This window comes from Homo sapiens, chromosome 3 (genome assembly GCF_000001405.40).
Source record: "Homo sapiens chromosome 3, GRCh38.p14 Primary Assembly".
NCBI classification, from domain to species: domain Eukaryota; kingdom Metazoa; phylum Chordata; class Mammalia; order Primates; family Hominidae; genus Homo; species Homo sapiens.
The window spans coordinates 15,012,540-15,031,488 of record NC_000003.12 but is presented as its reverse complement, the minus strand read 5'-3'; the positions used below and the strand labels follow the sequence as shown (position 1 = coordinate 15,031,488).

General features: G+C 43.8%; 1 protein-coding gene across 25 annotated transcripts in view, besides 1 other annotated feature; it reads right to left on the bottom strand.

The window, feature by feature from the left end:
- The window catches only part of NR2C2 (nuclear receptor subfamily 2 group C member 2), a 101,691-nt gene that overhangs the window by 17,785 nt on the left and 64,957 nt on the right, over window positions 1–18,949 (bottom strand). For 24 of the 25 annotated variants that reach the window (XM_047448826.1, XM_047448825.1, XM_047448830.1 and 21 more), the window contains 7 exons: window positions 17,700–17,900; window positions 15,235–15,337; window positions 10,557–10,736; window positions 8,142–8,289; window positions 7,281–7,374; window positions 2,770–2,903; window positions 1,037–1,214 (listed from right to left, as the gene is read on the bottom strand). In XM_047448826.1, the coding sequence (XP_047304782.1) occupies window positions 1,037–1,214; window positions 2,770–2,903; window positions 7,281–7,374; window positions 8,142–8,289; window positions 10,557–10,736; window positions 15,235–15,337; window positions 17,700–17,900 (1,038 nt within the window). Of the gene's footprint in view, window positions 1–1,036; window positions 1,215–2,769; window positions 2,904–7,280; window positions 7,375–8,141; window positions 8,290–10,556; window positions 10,737–15,234; window positions 15,338–17,314; window positions 17,676–17,699; window positions 17,901–18,949 lie in introns of those variants that run through there. The other variant, XM_024453739.2, reaches the window with a different exon arrangement.
- Window positions 5,962–6,461: an enhancer, noted in NCBI's record as "H3K27ac hESC enhancer chr3:15066535-15067034 (GRCh37/hg19 assembly coordinates)". NCBI's record gives its function as "activates a minimal SCP1, AML or CMV promoter by ChIP-STARR-seq in primed H9 embryonic stem cells {active_cell/tissue: H9 hESC(primed)}" and the evidence as "EXISTENCE:reporter gene assay evidence [ECO:0000049][PMID:30033119]".

The following is an 18,949-nucleotide window of genomic DNA, read 5'->3' as shown; positions in this document are numbered from 1 at the left end:
GGCTGAGGCAGGAGGATCACCTGAGCCCAGGAGTTCAAGACCAGGAGTTTGAGGTTACAGTGAGCCACAATCACATCACTACGCTTCAGCCTATGTATTTGTTTAAAAAAAAAAAAAATACTGGGGGAAAAGGAGGACTCAGCAGTCTGGAGACCTAGAGACTGAGAGGGCTTCAGGTACCCTCTGAGTGTCCTGTAGAAAAAGTGAGACCAGTGAATGACAGCACGGGGAACACCCATGAGGCCTTAACAGCACTCTTCAAGGGATCTACTTTCTGTGGCTCTAGAGGGCAGAGCAGTCAGGATCAATGGCTGGCTGCCTGCTTGTTGTAGATTTTATATGAGGGTTTCTATGACACAGAGAAGAGACAAAAGTGCCTGCCTGAGCCCATGGGGCAGCCAGGCAGTCACAGAGAGGCAGAGGCAGAGCATTCAGCCCTCAGCAGTTACCACTATGTCAGCCTGTCTTAGTAATGATGGGCCACGCCTGCTTCATGGTTACCTTCAGAACCAAATGGCACTGTGAGCAAAAGACAAGTGAAGATGCTTCATAATGGGACTATCATTCTGGAATACAAGATCCAGTTTGAAGTCATAATGTTAAATACCAGATTGAAGATGAGCTCACTCCAAGGTTTAATTTTTATTTATTTATTTATTTTTGAGGTGGAGTTTCACTCGTTGCCCAGGCTGGAGTGCAGTGGCATGATCTTGGCTCACTGCAACCTCTGCCTCCCAGGTTCAAGTGATTCTCATGCCTCAGCCTCCTGAGTAGGTGAGACTACAGGCATGCGCCTCCATGCCCGACTAATTTTTGTATTTTTAGGAGAGATGGGATTTCACCATGTTGGCCAGGCTGGTCTTGAACTCCTGAGCTGAAGTGATCCACGTGCCTTGGCCTCCCGAAGTGCTAAGATTACAGGCATGAGCCACTATGCCTGGCCCCAAGGTTTGATTTTTAAAACTGCAGATCGGCTTTGGTACAGAACCTATCCCCCAGCAGGTTGGGGGCACATGGTTAGGCTGAATTCACTCACCTTAAATGTGACGTGTGTGTCTGAAAGGAGGGGGCCTTCAACCTCAATGATGGGTGTCGACTGGTCTCTGCTGATGACGTGGATGCTCCCTCCTCCACTGGTGTCTATCCCATCTGCCAAGCTTGGAGAAGAGGAGCTGTCTGTGGTATTAAGTGCTTTAGCTAAGGTATCAAATGCCCTGTGAGCAAAAATGAAGCATGTAATTGTTGTGAATCTACAGCTTTTAGGGGGAACAGAATTCTAGCTATGATTTAGAAAAACTACAGTGGGAAAAGATAATTAAATTCTACCGTAGAGATGGGGTTTCACTATGTTGGCCAGGCTGGTCTCAAACTATTGACTGCAGGTGATCTACCTGCCTTGGCCTCTCAAAGTGCTGGGATTACACACGTGAGCCACTGCATCCGGCAAACAATGAAAACTTGTATGTATTATCTACACATCATCTTAGGCACTGAGCTATGTATTATCTAACTTCATGGACAATTTCTTTCTTTTCTTTTCTTTCTCTCTTTTCCTTCCTTTTCTCTCTTTCCTTCCTTCCTTCCTTCCTTTTCTCTTTGTCTCTTTCTCTTTTTCTTTCTCTCTTTCAGAGATGGGGTCTATCTATATCTATCTATCTATCTATCTATCTATCTATCTATCTATCTATCTATCTATTATTTATTTACTTTTTCAGAGATGGGTCTCAGCTGGTCTCAAACCCCTGGGATCAAGTGATCCTCTTGTCTCAGCTTCTCTAAGTGCTGGGATTATAGCTGTGAGCCACTGCACCTAGGCCCAATTTCTATTTTTCACAAGTACCCTCCAAAGTTAAAAATTATCTTCCATTTTACAGATGTGAATGCTGAGCTTACAGTTGTTAAATAACTTTTCCAAGACCATCCATATAGTAAGTGGTAGAACCAGAATTCTACCTAATTCAAATCCCACCCACTTTCCACGGTACCTAGATCTTATTTGTTATCAGACCACAAGTGAACAAAGGACTGGAACACTTGTATAGTCTCCAGCTTTGTATCTGGCTGGTCTGGCATGTTAGGAGCAGAGCACAAGAGCCAAACTGCAGAGAAGAAACATCCTTAGTAGCAGTTATCGGCATCTGGCATTAGCTCATACTATCACTATCTATCAGCCACTATCACTCTAGTTACCCTGGTGGATTTAAGCTCTGAATTCATTACTCAGAAAAAATATACATGAGGGCTGGGTGGGGGTGGTGGCGCACGCCTGTAAACCCAGCACTTTGGGATGCTGAGGCGGGAAGATCACTTGAGCCCAAGAGTTCTAGACCAGCCTAGGCAACATGGTGAGACTCCATCTCTATTAAAAAAAAAAAAAAAGAAAAAAGAAAAATATAGATGAGAAAAATAGGTTAAAATAGAAGTAGGAAAGGGAATGAACTCTTAATATGCAGACGCATTATTAAACAGTAATTAATACAAATAACCGCTGTCCACTAGAGTTTTCCTCCTATGTCTACTGATTTACTCAATTTCCTTTTCCATGGTTGGGAATGAAAAGAAGTTTTGATTGTTTTATACTGTATAACATAGGTGGGTCTATGTTCCCACAGTTAAAATTTCAAAGAAGACAGATGAGCAGGGTCATTGTAACAATTTTATCATCCTTAGTTAAATACAGCACAGGTACCAAAATGCTGTTTTCCACCCTCACAATAGAGGGAGGGTGTCCAGGCGAGGAGGGGAGACTCCATCCTCATGGGCTCGTACCGAGTTATCTCACTTGCAGACTGGTCCTCTGGCTGGATTTCTGAAGTGTCACCGTTGTTCAAAGATTCACTTAGGTTGGCAAGGGAGGTCACTACATTTGCCAGTGTGCCCAGAGCTCCCTGGCTTGTTTCAGCCTATTAAACAAAAAATACTGACATTAAAAATGAACACAGATACGCAAATGACTCTCAGGCCAATGAAGTTATAATGCTGGTTCAAAAACAGCTTCGAGGAGAGGGAAGTGTGACTACAAAGGGGCAACACGAGGAAGATCTTTTTAGTGATTTAACAGTTCTGTATCTTGGTGTGGTGGTATTTACACAAATCTAGATATGTGACAAAATGACAGAACAAAAACAGATAAACTAGACTTCATTAAAACTGTTGTGCTTCAAAAGAAATTGTCAAGAAAGTAAAAGCCCATAAAACAAAAGGACAACTCACAGAATGAGAGAAAATATTTGCGAATCATGTCTGATAATGGTTTAGTAGCCAGAATGTCTAAGGAACGCTAACAACTCAATAATAAAAAGACAACCCAATTTAAAAATGGAAAAAGAGGCTGGATGCAGTGGCTCATGCCTGTAATCCCAGCACTTTGGGAGGCCAAGGGAGGTGGATCACCTGAGGTCAGGGGTTCAAGACCAGCCTGGCAAACATGGTGAAACCCTGTCTCTACTAAAAATGCAAAAAATTAGCCAGGCATGGTGGCAGGTGCCTGTAACCCCAGGTACTTGGGAGGCTGAAGAAGGAGAATCACTTGAACCCAGGAGGCAGAGGTTGCAGTGAGCTGAGATTGTGCCACTGCCTGGGTGACAGAGTAAGATTCCATGTCAAAAAAAAAAAGGAAAAAGAGCACTTTGGGAGGGCAAAGCAGAAGGATCCCTTGAGCCCAAGAGTTTGAGACAAGCCTGGGCAACATGGCAAGGCCCTGTCTCTACAAAAAGTAAAAAAATTAGCCAGGCGTGGTGGTGTGTGCCTGTGGTCCCAGCTACTTAGGAAGCTGAGGTGGGAGGGTCTCTTGAGCTCAGGAAGTCAAGGCTGCAGTGAGCCATGATTGTGCCACTGCAGTCCAGCCTATCAGACAGAGTGAGACCCTGTCTCAATAACAAAATGAAACAACAAAACCCCAAAGATAATAGACTTCTCTCCAAAGAAGATATATAAACAGCCCATAAGCATATGAAGAGATGCTCAACATCATGAGAAATGCAAATCAAAATCACAATGACATACCACTTCACATCCACTGGGATGGCTACAATCAAAAAGATGGATAATAACAAGTGTTGGTAAGGATGTGGAGAAATGAGAACCTTCCTACACAGTTGGTGAGAATGTAAAGTGGTACAACACAAATGTCCATCAATTGACTAATGGATAAATAAAATGTGGTATAGCCATACAAAGGTGTATTATTAGGCTGGGCGTGGTGGCTCACGCCTATAATCCCAGCACTTTGGGAGGCCGAGGCAGGCAGATCACCTAAGGTCAGGAGTTCGAGACCAGCCTGCCCAACATGGTGAAACCTCATCTCTACTAAAAACACAAAATTGGCCAGGAGCGGTGGCTCACGCCTGTAATCCCAGCACTTTGGGAGGCCGAGGCGGGCGGATCGTGAGGTCAGGAGTTTAAGACCAGCCTGACCAACATGGTGAAACCCTATCTCTACTAAAAATACAAAAATTAGCTGGGTGTGGTGGCACGCACCTGCAATCCCAGCTACTCAGGAGGCTGAGGCAGGAGAATCGCTTGAACTCGGGAGGCGGAGGCTGCAGTAAGCCGAGATCGCACGATTGCACTCCAGCCTGGGCGACAGAGCGAGACTCCATCTCAAAACAAAACACACAAAATTAGCTGGGTATGGTGGCACATGCCTGTAATCCCAGCTACTCGGGAGGCTGAGGCAGGAGAATTGCTTGAACTCAGCAGGCAGAAGTTGCAGTGAGCCGAGGTGGCACCACTGCACTCTAGCCAAGGAAACAAGAGCGAAACTCTTGTCTTTAAAAAAAAACAGAGGTGCATTATTTGGCAATAAAAAGGAATGAAGTACTGATACATGCTATATCATGATGACCCTTAGAAACATCATGCTAAGTGAAAGAAGCCAGCCACAAAAGACCATATATTGTATGATTTCCTTTATATGAAATGTACAGAGTTGACAAAACCATAGAGTCAGAAAGCAGATTAGTGGTTGGTAGGGTTTGAGAAGAGGGGGAAAGGAGGAGTGACTACATAATAGGGTTTGGGGTTTATTCTGAGGTGACGAAAATATTCTAAAACTAGATAGTGGGGATGGTTTGTACAACCTTGTAAATATACCAAAAACCACTACATTATACACTAAAAGGGTGAGTTTTATGGCATGTGAATTATATTTCAATTAAAAAAGAAAGCCAGGGGTAGTGGCTCACGCCTGTAATCTCAGCACTCTGCAGGGACTAAGGTGGGTGAATTGCTTGAGTCCAGGAGTTCAAGACCAGACTGGGCAACATGGTGAAACACCGTCTCTACAAAAAAAATACGAAAAATTAGCCAGGCGTGGTGCTGTGCACCTACAGTCCCAGCTACTCGGAAGGCTGAGGTAAGAAGATTGCTTGAGCCTGGGAGGTGCAGGTTGCAATGAGCCAAGATCATACCACTGTACTCCAGCCTGGGCAACAGAGCAAGACCCTGTCTCAAAAAAAAAAAGAAAAAGAAAAAGAAAAGAAAGCCAGAGATATACTCAAACCAAGATATGTACACACAAGGTTATGTCTTGATTACAAAATGAAAAACTAGAATCAGTAGAAAAGGTCATAAACAGAAATGATTAAATCACAACAGACACATAGAATACTGTGCAGCTACTGTAAGATCCTCATTAACAGAAAGGTATGTTGAAGGAAATGAAGTTGAAGAAGAGTGAAATATAAAAAAGACAGAACAATACATATGGTTTGTACCAAAGCCAATGTCCTCGTTGTGATACTGTACCGTAGGTATGTATGACATAACCACTGGGAGGACCTGGGCGAAGGCTATGTGGGAGCTCTGTAATAGCACTGTACTTCCTTCATAGTAAATTATTTTAAATGTATAATTACTTCAAAGTAAAATTGGAAAACAGTTTCTGAAAGTAGCTTCCTGTGGGTGCTTTGCATATGTTTTATTATTCGTATCAAACTTCTGTGGGGGGTATTGTTGTTTCCATTGTACACAGGAAGGAATGGGGTAGGACACAGTCTGCCTCTGAAGCTCTTTCTCTTGATTCCTGAAATACCATACAGCTTTGTGGTCATTCTCCTCCAAAGTGACAATAACTAATTCCTAACCATTAACATTTATTGAATGCTCACTGTGTACCAAGAAATTTACAAGTGCAGGAAAGAAGCATGTGGCTACGAAGAGCACTGTCAGACTCTGAACCCAGTTCTAGCCAGTTCTGGAGTCTTGGTTCTCATTCCCAGTCTGTGTGTGGATGGCCCAATAGAATGGTTGCTGTGAATCCCTTGGTAATCTGTTTTTAAGGTTATCTGGGCCTTACTTTCAGGCTTACGCTTTCTCTGCATTTGACCATGCAGTCAGAGCCACTGTTCTAGAATGTGTGCTGCTGATAAGCTAAGCCCACGATGCGTGATCCATCAGCTCCCATCATGCATGTGGCCCCTGCCCAAAGACAGAAGGTGCAAGGCCCAGCCTGAGGACCAAGGCATGCAGGGCAGCTCTCCATGACAGGCAAGGGCTCTAAATTTTGTCTTCTCTTTCCCAAAAGAGGATGCCCTGTAATGCCCTGAGTACACCCATGAATGAGACTGTGAACAGATGAGGAGGAAGCCTGCAGGCCTTGCTCTGGTTCTAATGGTTGCAGCAATGCCAGTGTTCTCAATTACCAAGTCACCCTCTTAGAGTTGTGGCTTGCTGCTACTACTTCCTCATTACTTGGTTTACATCAGGAGCACCAGGATGAGACAAACAGTGAGTTCCCTGGCCTGGAAAAAATCCCCCTCCTTGGTTATCTTCACAGGAGCCAGCAAGTCTCCCCCTTTTGGACTGACGAACATCTCTGTCCACAAGTTAAATCCCTATGACTGATCTGCTCTAGCAAAGTTTTGGAACTGATAGATTCCTGGCTGAGCTTCCTCCTGAAGATCATCTAATAAAAAGGAACCCGGGGCTTTTGCAAAAAGGCCATCTGATAAGTATTTCTTTCCTTGGCTAGTAGTTTGCCAATGTGTATAAGAGAAAAAGAAAACTATAACAGAAAAGAGAACCACTGAATGTCCACCAAATTGACATCTAGACTGACATGTTACAGTGATTATGACCAGCCAGCTCTGATCTGAGAAGCCATCAGCATCTCTAAAACAAATCACAAGATAGCTATCACAACAATAAGGAGACCGAGACATAGGTCATGCTTTTGATGTGGTCTCTGAAGGCCAGGAAGAAAGTGGTGCACACAGTTAGAGAAGCAGCCTGCAATGTCAACATAAAGGATGAGAGAGAGCATGAGTAGAGAACGTCACCTTAGAATCCGTGGCCAGGAGAACTGTACCATCCTCACGTATCAAAGGCTGCTGGATGTTCACAAGCATCCCTGGATCAAGAAGACCTGTTTGTCTATTTAAGACATAAAGAAACTCAGAGTAGCTTCCAACATTTTATGCACAGTATGATCATGCTGCATTTACCTGTCCTTCCACATTTGTGAAGCTGTCTGAATAGTAGAAAAGCTCTAAGTAGACTCAGCCGCTTAGTGACTAAGCAGAACCCCCACCCCTGTCTCTCTGCAATGAGATATACATAAAGTCAGGTTTACAGCTTGAGACAGGATGAAATGCAGATGCATCCCCCAGGGCTTTCCAGGATGACTGCAGACTGTGGCCATTCTGCCTAGAAAAGTTAACTTGATTTTCAGAAAATCAGCAAGGCATCCTCAACTCCAGCTCTCTCTCTGATACATTTTGGATTGCTTGTTTTCCCCTCTTTCCGTTCCTTTTAAAGTAAGTTCAATAGATTATATTAAAAAGAATATACAAATTAACTGTAGCACTGAGACCTTATCTCACCTTGGGCCTTTTGTGTGTACTGCAGAAATGCCCCAATCTTGAATCATAAAATAATTGTCTTCCGTATGAATGATGCCTAAATTGCAGGACATAATCTGAATTCAAGGCTAGGAGAATTTCTGACCCCTTCATAAATCAGGCATCCTCAGGCCTGTCCAGAGGTGTGACTGAGCAGCTCCAGAAGGGGCAGAATTAGGCAACACAACGCTGGAGGCTATGGCAGATGGGTGGGAAGCCACAACAGTGCCTGCTGTGGGACACGTCTGTGCCTCCTCCATCAGCTGCAAAGGCTGATTGCAGTGAGAACAAGGGACTGACCTTGCTCCATCTTTGTCTGCCACAAACGTGGGAGTAGCTATCAGGGGACTTCTCAGGTCTTTCCGGATATAGATTTTCTCAGTTGAAGCAGCACAATTGCTTGGTTTCTCCCGTTGCACATCGAAGGGCTTCCGTTCACTCTGCACAGCTTAAATCACAACATAAATATTTGTGTTTAGAGAAACAATTCCAATCAATAAAAACCACAAGGGAAAACCCCAAATCCATTACTGCAGGGAGGATGACTCTGGTGCTAGGTTCATCTAGCTCAGCTTTCACAGTGGACTTTTCGGCCAGAGAGAAGGAATAAAGCCAAACCATGCCATGTCAAATCTAGAGGCATAAAAAAGACCTCACGATGGGTGGTATTCCCTGCTAAAAAAAACTGCAGCACAGCACCTATGTGGCCTATGGAAGCACCCATGAGCCTTCTGGGCCATTTTATTAATTTTATGCTATTATTTTATGTTATTATTTTATTATTTTTTGTAGAGATGAAGCCTCATTATGTTGCCCAGTCTGGACTCATCCTGGGCTCAAGCAAACCACTCGCCCCAGCCTGCCAAAGTGCTGGAATTACAGGCATAAGCCACCGTGCCCAGCTGGTTTTTACTTCATGCTGCTAACAAAATAGACTCTTTCAAGGATAAAAAAATGCCCATCTTTGGGCCGGGGGTGGTGGCTCACGTCTGTAATCCCAGCACTTTGGGAAGCCGAGATGGGTGGATCACTTGCCCAACATGGCAAAACCCGGCCTCTATTAAAAACACAAAAATTAGCCAGGTGTGGTGGCAGGCACCTGTAATCCCAGCTACTTGGGAGGCTGAGGCAGGGAGAATTGCTTGAACCTGGGAGGCGGAGGCTGCAGTGAGCCAAGACGCGGCACCACTGCACTCCAACCTGGGCAACAGAGCAAGACTCTGCCTCAAAAAAAAAAAAAAAAAAAAAAGAAAGAAAAAGAAAAAAGAAATGCCCACCTTCAAGTGGGCCCTTAATAGAATGCATTTCCTATGCCACAATTTGTAGAGGAACCCTTCTAATTTCCAACTCAAGTCTGAATAGCTTCTGCAAACTGTTTAATGGGTGTCAATTTTATATTATGCTAGCAAACTCTCCTTTTAGCAGTCTAATGTAAGAGCAGATATGCATGTTAGAAGCAACTGAAGAAAATGAAAGCTTTTTAAAGACAAAACTGATGAAGGTCAGGGACTAATATTCAGATATGCTACTAATCAAACTGCTATCCAGTTGAATATTGTGTTTGCAGCTACAGCTGTGTTCACAAGAAAACTGATTTCAGTCATTGCTCTGAGTAAAAATATTCATCATTGAGAAAAAGGACAGCTTGGCAATGTGGGCCAGTCCCACACCAAGTCAGTGATTTATTTATTCACTTTGGGCAAAGAGCAGTATCATTAGATAAAATAAAAACATCACACCAGGCAGAAATTAGGTTGATATTTCTAATTTCTCAAAAAATACATTTCCATTTATTCTCCAGTGAATTTTGTGGATTCCTGTTCCCAGAAACGTCAACAGCAATACTGAAATATATTGGTTTTCAGAGTTCCTAGAAAACTATGCAAAAGATGACAGAACCATGCAGCATACTCAGCGGAAGCCTGCAGTCCTGGGTCCTCGGCCACCAGCCTTGCCATGCAAGTTGCATGCAAGTTGCATGCCTTGCTCTGCTAAGCTCCATTTTCCTACTGTGGCTTAAGCCTAACTCCACTCTCCTTGGATTTCTTTGTGCTGCCCATCTTGAGTCCTGGTCTTCATGTTTTCACCACTAGCTAGGGAAGTGACCTCCATGCTGACTGGTCCCTGAAAACCCCCAAAATTCTGTCTATGGGAGTGGAAAGGAGGGGCCTGAGACCTTCCCTGGCTGCCCCACACATCCAGGAGCAATAGCTTTCTCTTTAGAATCCCAGCTACACAGAGGCTTGGCAAAGGACCTTATCCCAAAAGAAAGTAGAGGGGCTAAGAAGACAGGGAGTAGGCTCATGTAATCCTCAGGAGCAATATATAAGTAAGGTGATTAAGTAGATCACAGATGAGGACCCTGTGGCTGAGAGGCTACGTGTATCCTCAGGCATCATAGCTCTCTCTTAGTGGCACACCTGGAGGTAGATTTGGTATCAGCTTTCCTCCAAAGCCTGTGTTCAACCCACTCCACTAAGCTGCCTCCTGATGCATCTGTAATAAGGCTTTCCACACACACAGCAGGAAGAGACCAACCCCTGCAGCGTTGGCTCTCAATCACCTGGCTGACCCATGAGGTAAACCAAAATGAAGCCTGAGTGCATATTTTTTTCTTAAAGTATTTTAAGGCCAGGTATAGAAACCTTATTTAATGGACTCATTTACTGTCTCCCTCCACATTAACTCATGTGGTTTTTAAATATTGTTACTCACATTCCATTTTCATGCCCATCTCTAAGCATTTTTTCAGCCGGCAAAACTGACAGCGGTTCCGGTGATGTTTATTGATGATGCAGTCTTGGTTGCTCCGGCAGCTGTAGGTCAAATTTTTCCTCACACTCCTTTTGAAGAAACCTTTGCAACCTTCACAACTGACAGCCCCATAGTGACGGCCTGAAACAGGAGAAAGAATACACAAATATTTTGTGACTATATTTGTGGATTCACCAAAGAGGTGATCTGTCAGTTCCTGTGCAAGTCTCATTGAAGTGATGGGTGCCATACACTGTTAGATGCCAACAGCCACGTGGCCTGAGCATTAAGCATACTGGCCACACCCTTCACGTAATTTCTCTACCATCTTTCAAGTAGCCTTATGAATTCATGATGGAAATACTGAAACTCAGACAGGTTATATGACAGCTGGCAGATGGCATGACCTTAGTGCTCTTAGTATACAAATGGTCTAACATACAGTAGGAGCTCACAGGTGACGGCTGAACTCTACTGTCCACTTGAACACACCTGGGTCCTATTCCTGGAGATCTGGGCTTGTGATGCGGCTCAGGGCCCCTGTCCTGCCACGAGTGGCACATAGCAAACACGTGCATGTGTGGCTTTGGCACAGAGGGTCTCACTCCTGCATTTAGCCCCTCTCTGATTCACGTCCTGGGCCCGAAACCTCCCCTGGGGAAGCGGGATAGTCACAGGGAGAAGCATGGGGACTGTCACTGCCGAAGCCCACAGCAAAAGAGGATTACCATATGGTTCCACCTGGGCTAGCCACTCAAAGCCTTCTAGAAACACAGTTCTAGGAATGCATTTATTAAACACAGTCCATTTTTCTAATCTTGTTTTACTTTGGTGTCTCTTTTTATTTCTGATACATTGTAATTGTCCATGTCCATATTTATGAGGCATAATTTGATATTTCAATATATCCACGTTGTATAATGATCAAATCAGATAGAGTGACCATCACCTTATGCATTTATCATTTCTTTGTTAATAAGGACATTCAAAACCCTTTCTTCTAGGTATTTTATAATATATAATACCTTATTGTTAGCTATGGCTACAGTGCAATAGAACACCAGAACTTGTTCCTACTACTTAACTGTAACTTTGTACCAGTTGGTCAGTCTTTCCCAACTATCTCTCACTTTTCCCCTCCTGAGTCTTGGTGCCATTATTCTACTCTCTGTTTCTATGATATCAATTTTTTTTTTTAAGGATTCCACATGAGTGAGATCGTATTTGTCTTTCTGTGTCTGGCTTATTTCATGTAACATGATGTCCTCCATGTTCATCTATGTTGTCACAAAGTGCAGGATTTCATTCAGTTTTATGTATTCCACTGTGTTACATACCACATTTTCTTTATCCATTCATCCGCTGTTGGATACTTAAGCTGATTCCACATCTTGGCCATTGTAAATAGTCATGCAGTAAGCGTGGGAGTGCAGATATTTCTTCAACATAATGATTTTATTTCCTTTGGATATGGATCCAGTACTGAGATTGCTGGATCATGTGGTAGTTCTATTTTTAATTTTTTGAAGAACCTCCATACAGTTTTCTATAGTGGCTGTACTAGTTTACAATCCCACCAACAATGTGTAAGTGTTCCCTTTTCTCCACATCCTCCCTAGCACTTCTTTTCGTCTTTTTAATTGTAGACATTTTTTCTTTTCTTTTTTTTTGAGACAAGAGTCTTAGTCACTCAGACTGGAGTGCAGTGGCCATGATTTCGGCTCACTGCAACCTCCACCTCCTGGGTTCAAGTGATTCTTGTGCCTCAGCCTCCCGAGTAGCTGGAATTATAGGTGTGCACCACCACACTAGGCTAATTTTTTTATTTTTATAAGATTTTATAAAAATAAAATCTTTTTTTTTTTTTTTTTTTTTTTAAGACAAGAGTCTTGCTTTTGTCACCCAGGCTGGAGTGCAGTGGTGCGATCTTGGCTTACTGCAACCTCTGCCTCCCAGGTTCAAGCAATTCTCCTGCCTGAGCCTCCCAAGTAGCTGGGATTACAGGAACCCGCTACCACACCCAGCTAATTTTTGTATTTTTAGTAGAGACGGTTTTACCATGTTGGCCAGGCTAGTCTCGAACTCCTGACCTCAGGTGATCCACCTGCCTTGGTCTCCCAAAGTGCTGGGATTACAGATGTGAGACACCGCACCCTGCCAAAAAATATATATCTCATAAAAATACAAAAATCAGTAGAGATGAGGTTTTGCCACGTTGGTCAGGCTGGTCTTGAACTCCCGGCCTCATGTGATCTGCCCACCTCGGCCTGCCAAAGTGCTGGGATTATAGGCATGAGCCACTGCACCCAGCCTGATTATAGACATCCTAACTGGAGGTGATACCTCATGTGGTGATTTGCATTTCCCTGAAGATTAGTGATGTTGAGCATTTTTTCATATAACTCGGCCATTTGAATGTCTTCTTTTGCGAAATGTCTATTAAGGTATTTTGCCCATTTTAAAATTGGGTTACTTGTTTTTTTTGCTGTCGAGTTGTTTAAGTTCGCTATATGTTCTGGGTAGTAACCCTTTGTCAGGTGTACAGTTTGCATGGTATCTCCAACTTTTAATTATCAATGACATTAAAAAGTGCCCCTGGCTGGGCAAGGTGGCTCATGCCTGTAATCCCAGCACTTTGGGAGGCCAAGGCAGGCAGATCACAAGGTTAGGAGTTCGAGACCAGCCTGGCCAATATGGTGAAACCCAGTCTCTACTAAAAATACAAAAATTAGCCAGGCGTGGTGGCAGACACCTATAGTCCCAGCTACTTGGGAGGCTGAGGCAAGAGAATTGCTTGAATCTGGGAGGCAAAGGTTGCAGTGAGCCAAGATCACACCACTGCACTCCAACCTGAGGGACAGAGTGAGACTCCATCTCAAAAAAAAAGCGGCCCCTCCTTCAGTTTAGCTTTCTTATTCACAAAGTACTTTCACATACATTATGCCCACTTGTTTCCAGCTGAGACTGACCATGGACATGCTCTTCTGATTCTGTCTTGTTTGTATAATCCAATTTCATAGCTACATTGCCAAGGAGGATACATTTCACAGGATTACCATTTATGGTGGCTACAGAGAATCCCACTGTTCTAAGCTCTAGTATGCAAAACCATTTCCCAAGTGTGCATCTGGAATAACTCAGTCTTTTTCTTTTAAGAATAGTTGTGGTAAAGTGCCTTCTATAATATTGTTTTTCCTTTCTTTGCAGTATATTTCCTTGAGTTCTCTATCCCTTTGAGTGACACTAATATCAGGAGACAATGGCACCAAGAGCCTGTGACTAGGCCTTTCCTTTAAGCTCAGAAGAAGACTGACAAATGGGGAAGCCAAGCAGATTCTATGGCCCTTTTGTTACGTTCATGCTTCACTCATTTGTTCAGAAGTTTGTAGAGAGCCTTTCCTTGCTGAGCAAGAAGACAGGAATACAGAGATAGATGGTAAGACATGGTTTTTGCTCTGACATTCTGATGGGGAAGACAGGCCTGTAAAGAGTGAATTATATGAGTATGCAACAAGTGATTAATCTGTAGGAAAGGGCAATCAGAATCACAAGCAGCACTGTCTATCTGCCTACTGGGGTAGGTGAGGGCTTCAGAGAAGGGATAGGATGGGTTGGGTTTACCAGGACAAAGGGCGGGAGCAGAGGCAGGCACCATTGGCAGATAAATGGTGTCACCAGCATGGAAGGGAAACTGGAGCTTCTGATCTTCTGTAGATGCTTGCTTGGGGCTGTCTTCCTAAGAGGCTTGGTCCAACCTCCTTTTTAAAAAACAAAACAAACAAAAACCAGGACTACAGTGCCCAAAGTTCCTGTGAATTTTGTGACCACAGAAGAAAGTGGAACCAAGCAGCCATCACAGAACACAGGCCTGTGCCCCTGGCATTCCTGGTACTGTGTTCTTGTAAAATACTTCTCCATTCCTTCCTGTCTGCCTCACTAACCTTCTATGGATCCCCAGTACAAGCAGGCCAGCACTTGAATTTTTGGGCCAGACATCTTCTTCAGTCTCACTTTACCCAATCGTAATCACAGAAGCCTATGAGCTCTCTCTCAAGGATACCATGGGTATTGATCTTAAACTCTAGGCCCTGGCTCCACTTGCTGGAATGCCCTCCTCCTGCTCCAACCAACATGTACACAATTACCAAGGCTCCCAGGTGCGACTGCCTCTGTGGGGCCTTTCCTGACCCTGGGACACTAGCTGGAATCACATGCCTCCTCCTGCTTCATTACAGCAGTTATTTACAGTGGGTTATAGTGAGGGGATGTTAAGAGATAGTTACAGTTAGGATGAAGGGGGATTATACAAATTATACACCTTGTAAAATAGCCAAGTGCTGTACAAATGTTAACAAGATTAGACAATGAGTACTTTCTTAGCAGCACATAAATACTACACACTCAACCAAGATTTACAAATCACAGAAATAATTTCTTGACTTTTCCTTTTGATGTCTAATTTCTGACAAACTACCTTACTTATTTACATCATTACCCCAATAAGAAAAGTAGAATTCACATGTGAAACCTACAAACGTACATAAAATGGTCCTTCTAAATTAACTACCACCCCACCTCACAACAGTTACTTCATGCTGTTGGCCCATTATAAGTGCCAGCATAACCTGGAACTACATACCGGAGGCTTTGTCGCCACAGACCACACAGTACTCTACCACCTGGGGCCGCTGGACGTCCGTCTTCCCCAGTAAACGCTCCACAGAGGCAGAATCCGTGACAATCTGAGAGAAATCAGGAAACGAACAGGGGTGCCAATTAAAAATCAAATCACTGCCGGGCACGGTGGCTCACGTCTATAATCCCAGCACTTTGGGAGGCTGAGGTGGGTGGATCACTTGAGGTCGGGAGTTCGAGACCAGCCTGACTAACATGGTGAAACCCTGTCTCTACTAAAAATACAAAATTAGTCAAATGTGGTGGTGGGTGCCTGTAATCCCCAGCTACTCTGGAGGCTGAGGCAGGAGAATTGCTTCAACCCGGGAGGCAGAGGTTGTAGTGAGCCGAGATCGCACCACTGCACTCCAGGCTGGGTGACAGAGTGAGACCCCATCTCAAAAACAAACAAGCAAAAACCCAGATCACTAAGCAAAGTAATGTTTAATTACAAATTCTCAATGTTGGGTTTTTAAGCAGAACTCTGGACAGAACTGGCAAAATTCCAGAAGACAACTTAATCTGACACCCAGAATGGCTCTGCCACTCATCCGGACTGCTCATCAGCTGGCTGGTTTCCCAGGGTCAGGCGCTGGTTTCCACTGATCTACTCTATCTGGCTACTACAACCACCCAAAATTGTGGCCCATGTGGGGAATCACACACAGAGGCTTCAAAATGAAGATATTTAAGATTCTTCCCGTAACAACTTGAATGTACGCAAAGAGGTGTATTGGCAGAGAAATAACCAAACTTTATTAATTAAATAACTAGGACTCCGACTGAGGCAGCTGGTGGTGAGCTGATGACGAGAACAAATGACCTTTGAAACCTGCTATCTTCCCCTCATTTGTGGTGATTTTCTAGGCGACAGCAATTCATCTGGGAGAATACTATAACTGATATCAATATAAGAAAGTGAAAAATAGCTGTTATTTTAAAATGTACTTGAACTTGAGCCAACAATAAGCCTTAAAATGATTTATACATGGTGGGAACACATACAGAAATCATTAAGTAGAATCACCTCTTGTGAAACATGCAACAAAATCAACAGCCATTCTTTCACAGACAAGGAGTACTCTAAAGGAGGAGGAAGGAATTCTGATTTCAGATGATCACAATGTACTCCGGGAAAGGAAGGATGAGACAGCATTTAGTAAGTGTAGCGTAAGGTGTCTAAAAGAACAGTTCTGAAAGCTGAACATGTTGGCGTTCTGATCCCAGCTCAATCAGAAGACAAAAAAAGTCTTCCCTTCTTTAAGTTTCTTCATAGTAGAACCTCCCCACCCAAAACAGAGATTCTAAGCAGCATTAATTCAACAGCCAAAAGGTGGAAGCAACCTACATGTCCACCAACAGATGAAGAGATAAAATGTGGTCTATATACAGAGTGGAATACTACTCAGCCTTTAAAAGGAATGGAATTCTGACACATGCTACAACATGGATGGGTGAAATAAGCCAGTCACACAAAGGCTGATTTCACTTATATGAGGTACCTAGAGTAGTCAAATTCATGGAGACAGAAAGTAGAATGGTGGTCACCAGGGGCTGGGGGAGGGGGAGAGGAGAGTTACTATTCAATGAGTACAGAGTTTCAGCTTAGGAAGAGGAAAAGAGTTACACAGAGCTAGATAGTGGTACAACAATGTAAATCTACTTAATGCCACTAAACTGTATACCTAAAGCTGGTTAAGATGTTAAGTTTTATATTATGTGTATTTTATCAAAAATTAAAAAAAAAAATGAAACACAACCCTGACGAAGCATGCTCCATGCTCAGCCATCATGGGATACTGACCTTGAGTTTCTGTTCTCTAATTGTTGGGTTTGGAGATTCTATACTTCCCAGACTCATGCTAGCAACAACCCTGCTTTCCTTCAATGTCTGCTCTTTTCCTTGCTGTGGACTGTCCTCAACCCCATCCTGCCTTAACAGAGCAGGAAGAACCAGGGCAGAGATAGAGACAAGAATTGAGGGGCCCAGGGCGAGTAGTACACAGTGGCAAGTAAAGACAGAATGAAAAGCTGGGGCCACAGACCTGATGATCTGGACAAGTCGGTTCTCGCCTGGCTGTAGTCAGCCCTAGGTGGTACCTTTAAAATATCAAGGGCTGCCACTTGATGGCCTTAGGTAAGAACAATTCTCCAGTAGCCTCAGTGCCGGCTTGCTCATGTCAGTCTCCTGTGGCCACTGACTTCCAGGTTCTACTTCCATCCTCTCTGAGTGTTATAGTTGACTGTCTTCTGGGCCTTGCCACTGGATTGCTGGTTTATTACTTTGGCCAAAGCAGCAACCTGCCATGTTTGCAGGTCCCCAAGGAACCTTCCAGGGATGGATTTGGCCTCGAAGGCAGATGTAAGAACAAGTCAGGAACAAGTTCAATAGCAGAAGTGCTGAAACAAATACCTGTCCAAAGGCCTTACCTGGATCCTGCCAGGGACGAGGTTGTCTGAGGTGGTGAATATGAGTTGCTTGGCGCTGGATGTCTCTGGGGAAGCCAGGATCACCTTCCCAGTTCCAGCTCCATCTGGGCTGGTCAGGATGAACTGCTGTTTGGGGGATCCGGAGGCGTCCACTGCGGTGACTATCTGGATTTTCTGTCCTGTCTGCTGGTCTGTGACAATCTATAAGACACAACATGGAGGCTGCTCTCATGGAGTGTCACAAGACCCATGCATTTGCAGGTGGTGCTCAAAGTGGTGACTGCCAAAAACCAGTCCTTGAATTAATGCTGTCTAACATGCATTTTCACCAGTCCACGGTGAACTGAGAAAAATAAAACACAATAGTGAGCTTTTCAGAAACAAATTTTCATAAAGCTAATTTTAGTCTAGGACTATATCTTTCCTACTGTTTTTAGAATTAAAATGCCCTTTCTTTTATGAAATGAAGGCAATAATAAATAGTAGGTTTAACTTTTTGAAAAGTCCTTGTCCTCACCTAATAACAAATGTAGGCAATCCTAACTCTTTTGAAATGCTACTGATCCACAAAAGCCAAAAACTTGGGAATGACTGTTTCAAAGACAGCCTCTTTCTAAAAGGTCCTGTAAATAATATTGCCTTAGGTTGAGAGAATACAGGGAGACCCCTGCTGACACACACTCAACTTACCACTAATTGACCACCCACCTCCTTCACTCCCACTTCCTGACTCTGAGGTCTTTAAGGATAGAGACTACATCTGATTCACTGCTATATCCCCAGGGCCAGCACAAGGCCTGCCACATAGAGAGACGACAATAAAAGATCCTAGGATGCACCGAAGGAAGTGGGCACTGACTCTGGAGAAGTCTTGACCCTTATTCCTCTGGGAGTTCTCACTCTTCAGGAGTCTCGCTGTCAAGACTCCACTTCTTCACACAGTCCTTGTCTAATTGCATCAGTCACAACAAAAACAGCTGCTATGACAAGAATGAACTCTCTTATTCTTGCTCATGAAGTTCTCTGAAGTTGTTCTAATCCCCGTCCTGCCTCTCTTCTAGACCAGATGTTCCTGGCTAGCAGCACTGCCACCTCTCCCTCCAGGCACCAGCAGACCCTTACTGCAAAGAAGACTCTTGAGCTGCTGCTGCTGTGTTGGGTGAGGGGAAACATGCTATGTCTCTGGCTGGAACTCAGTTTCCTACAGCACAGTACACTTATGGGCAGGTCTAGCATCTGTACCACACTTT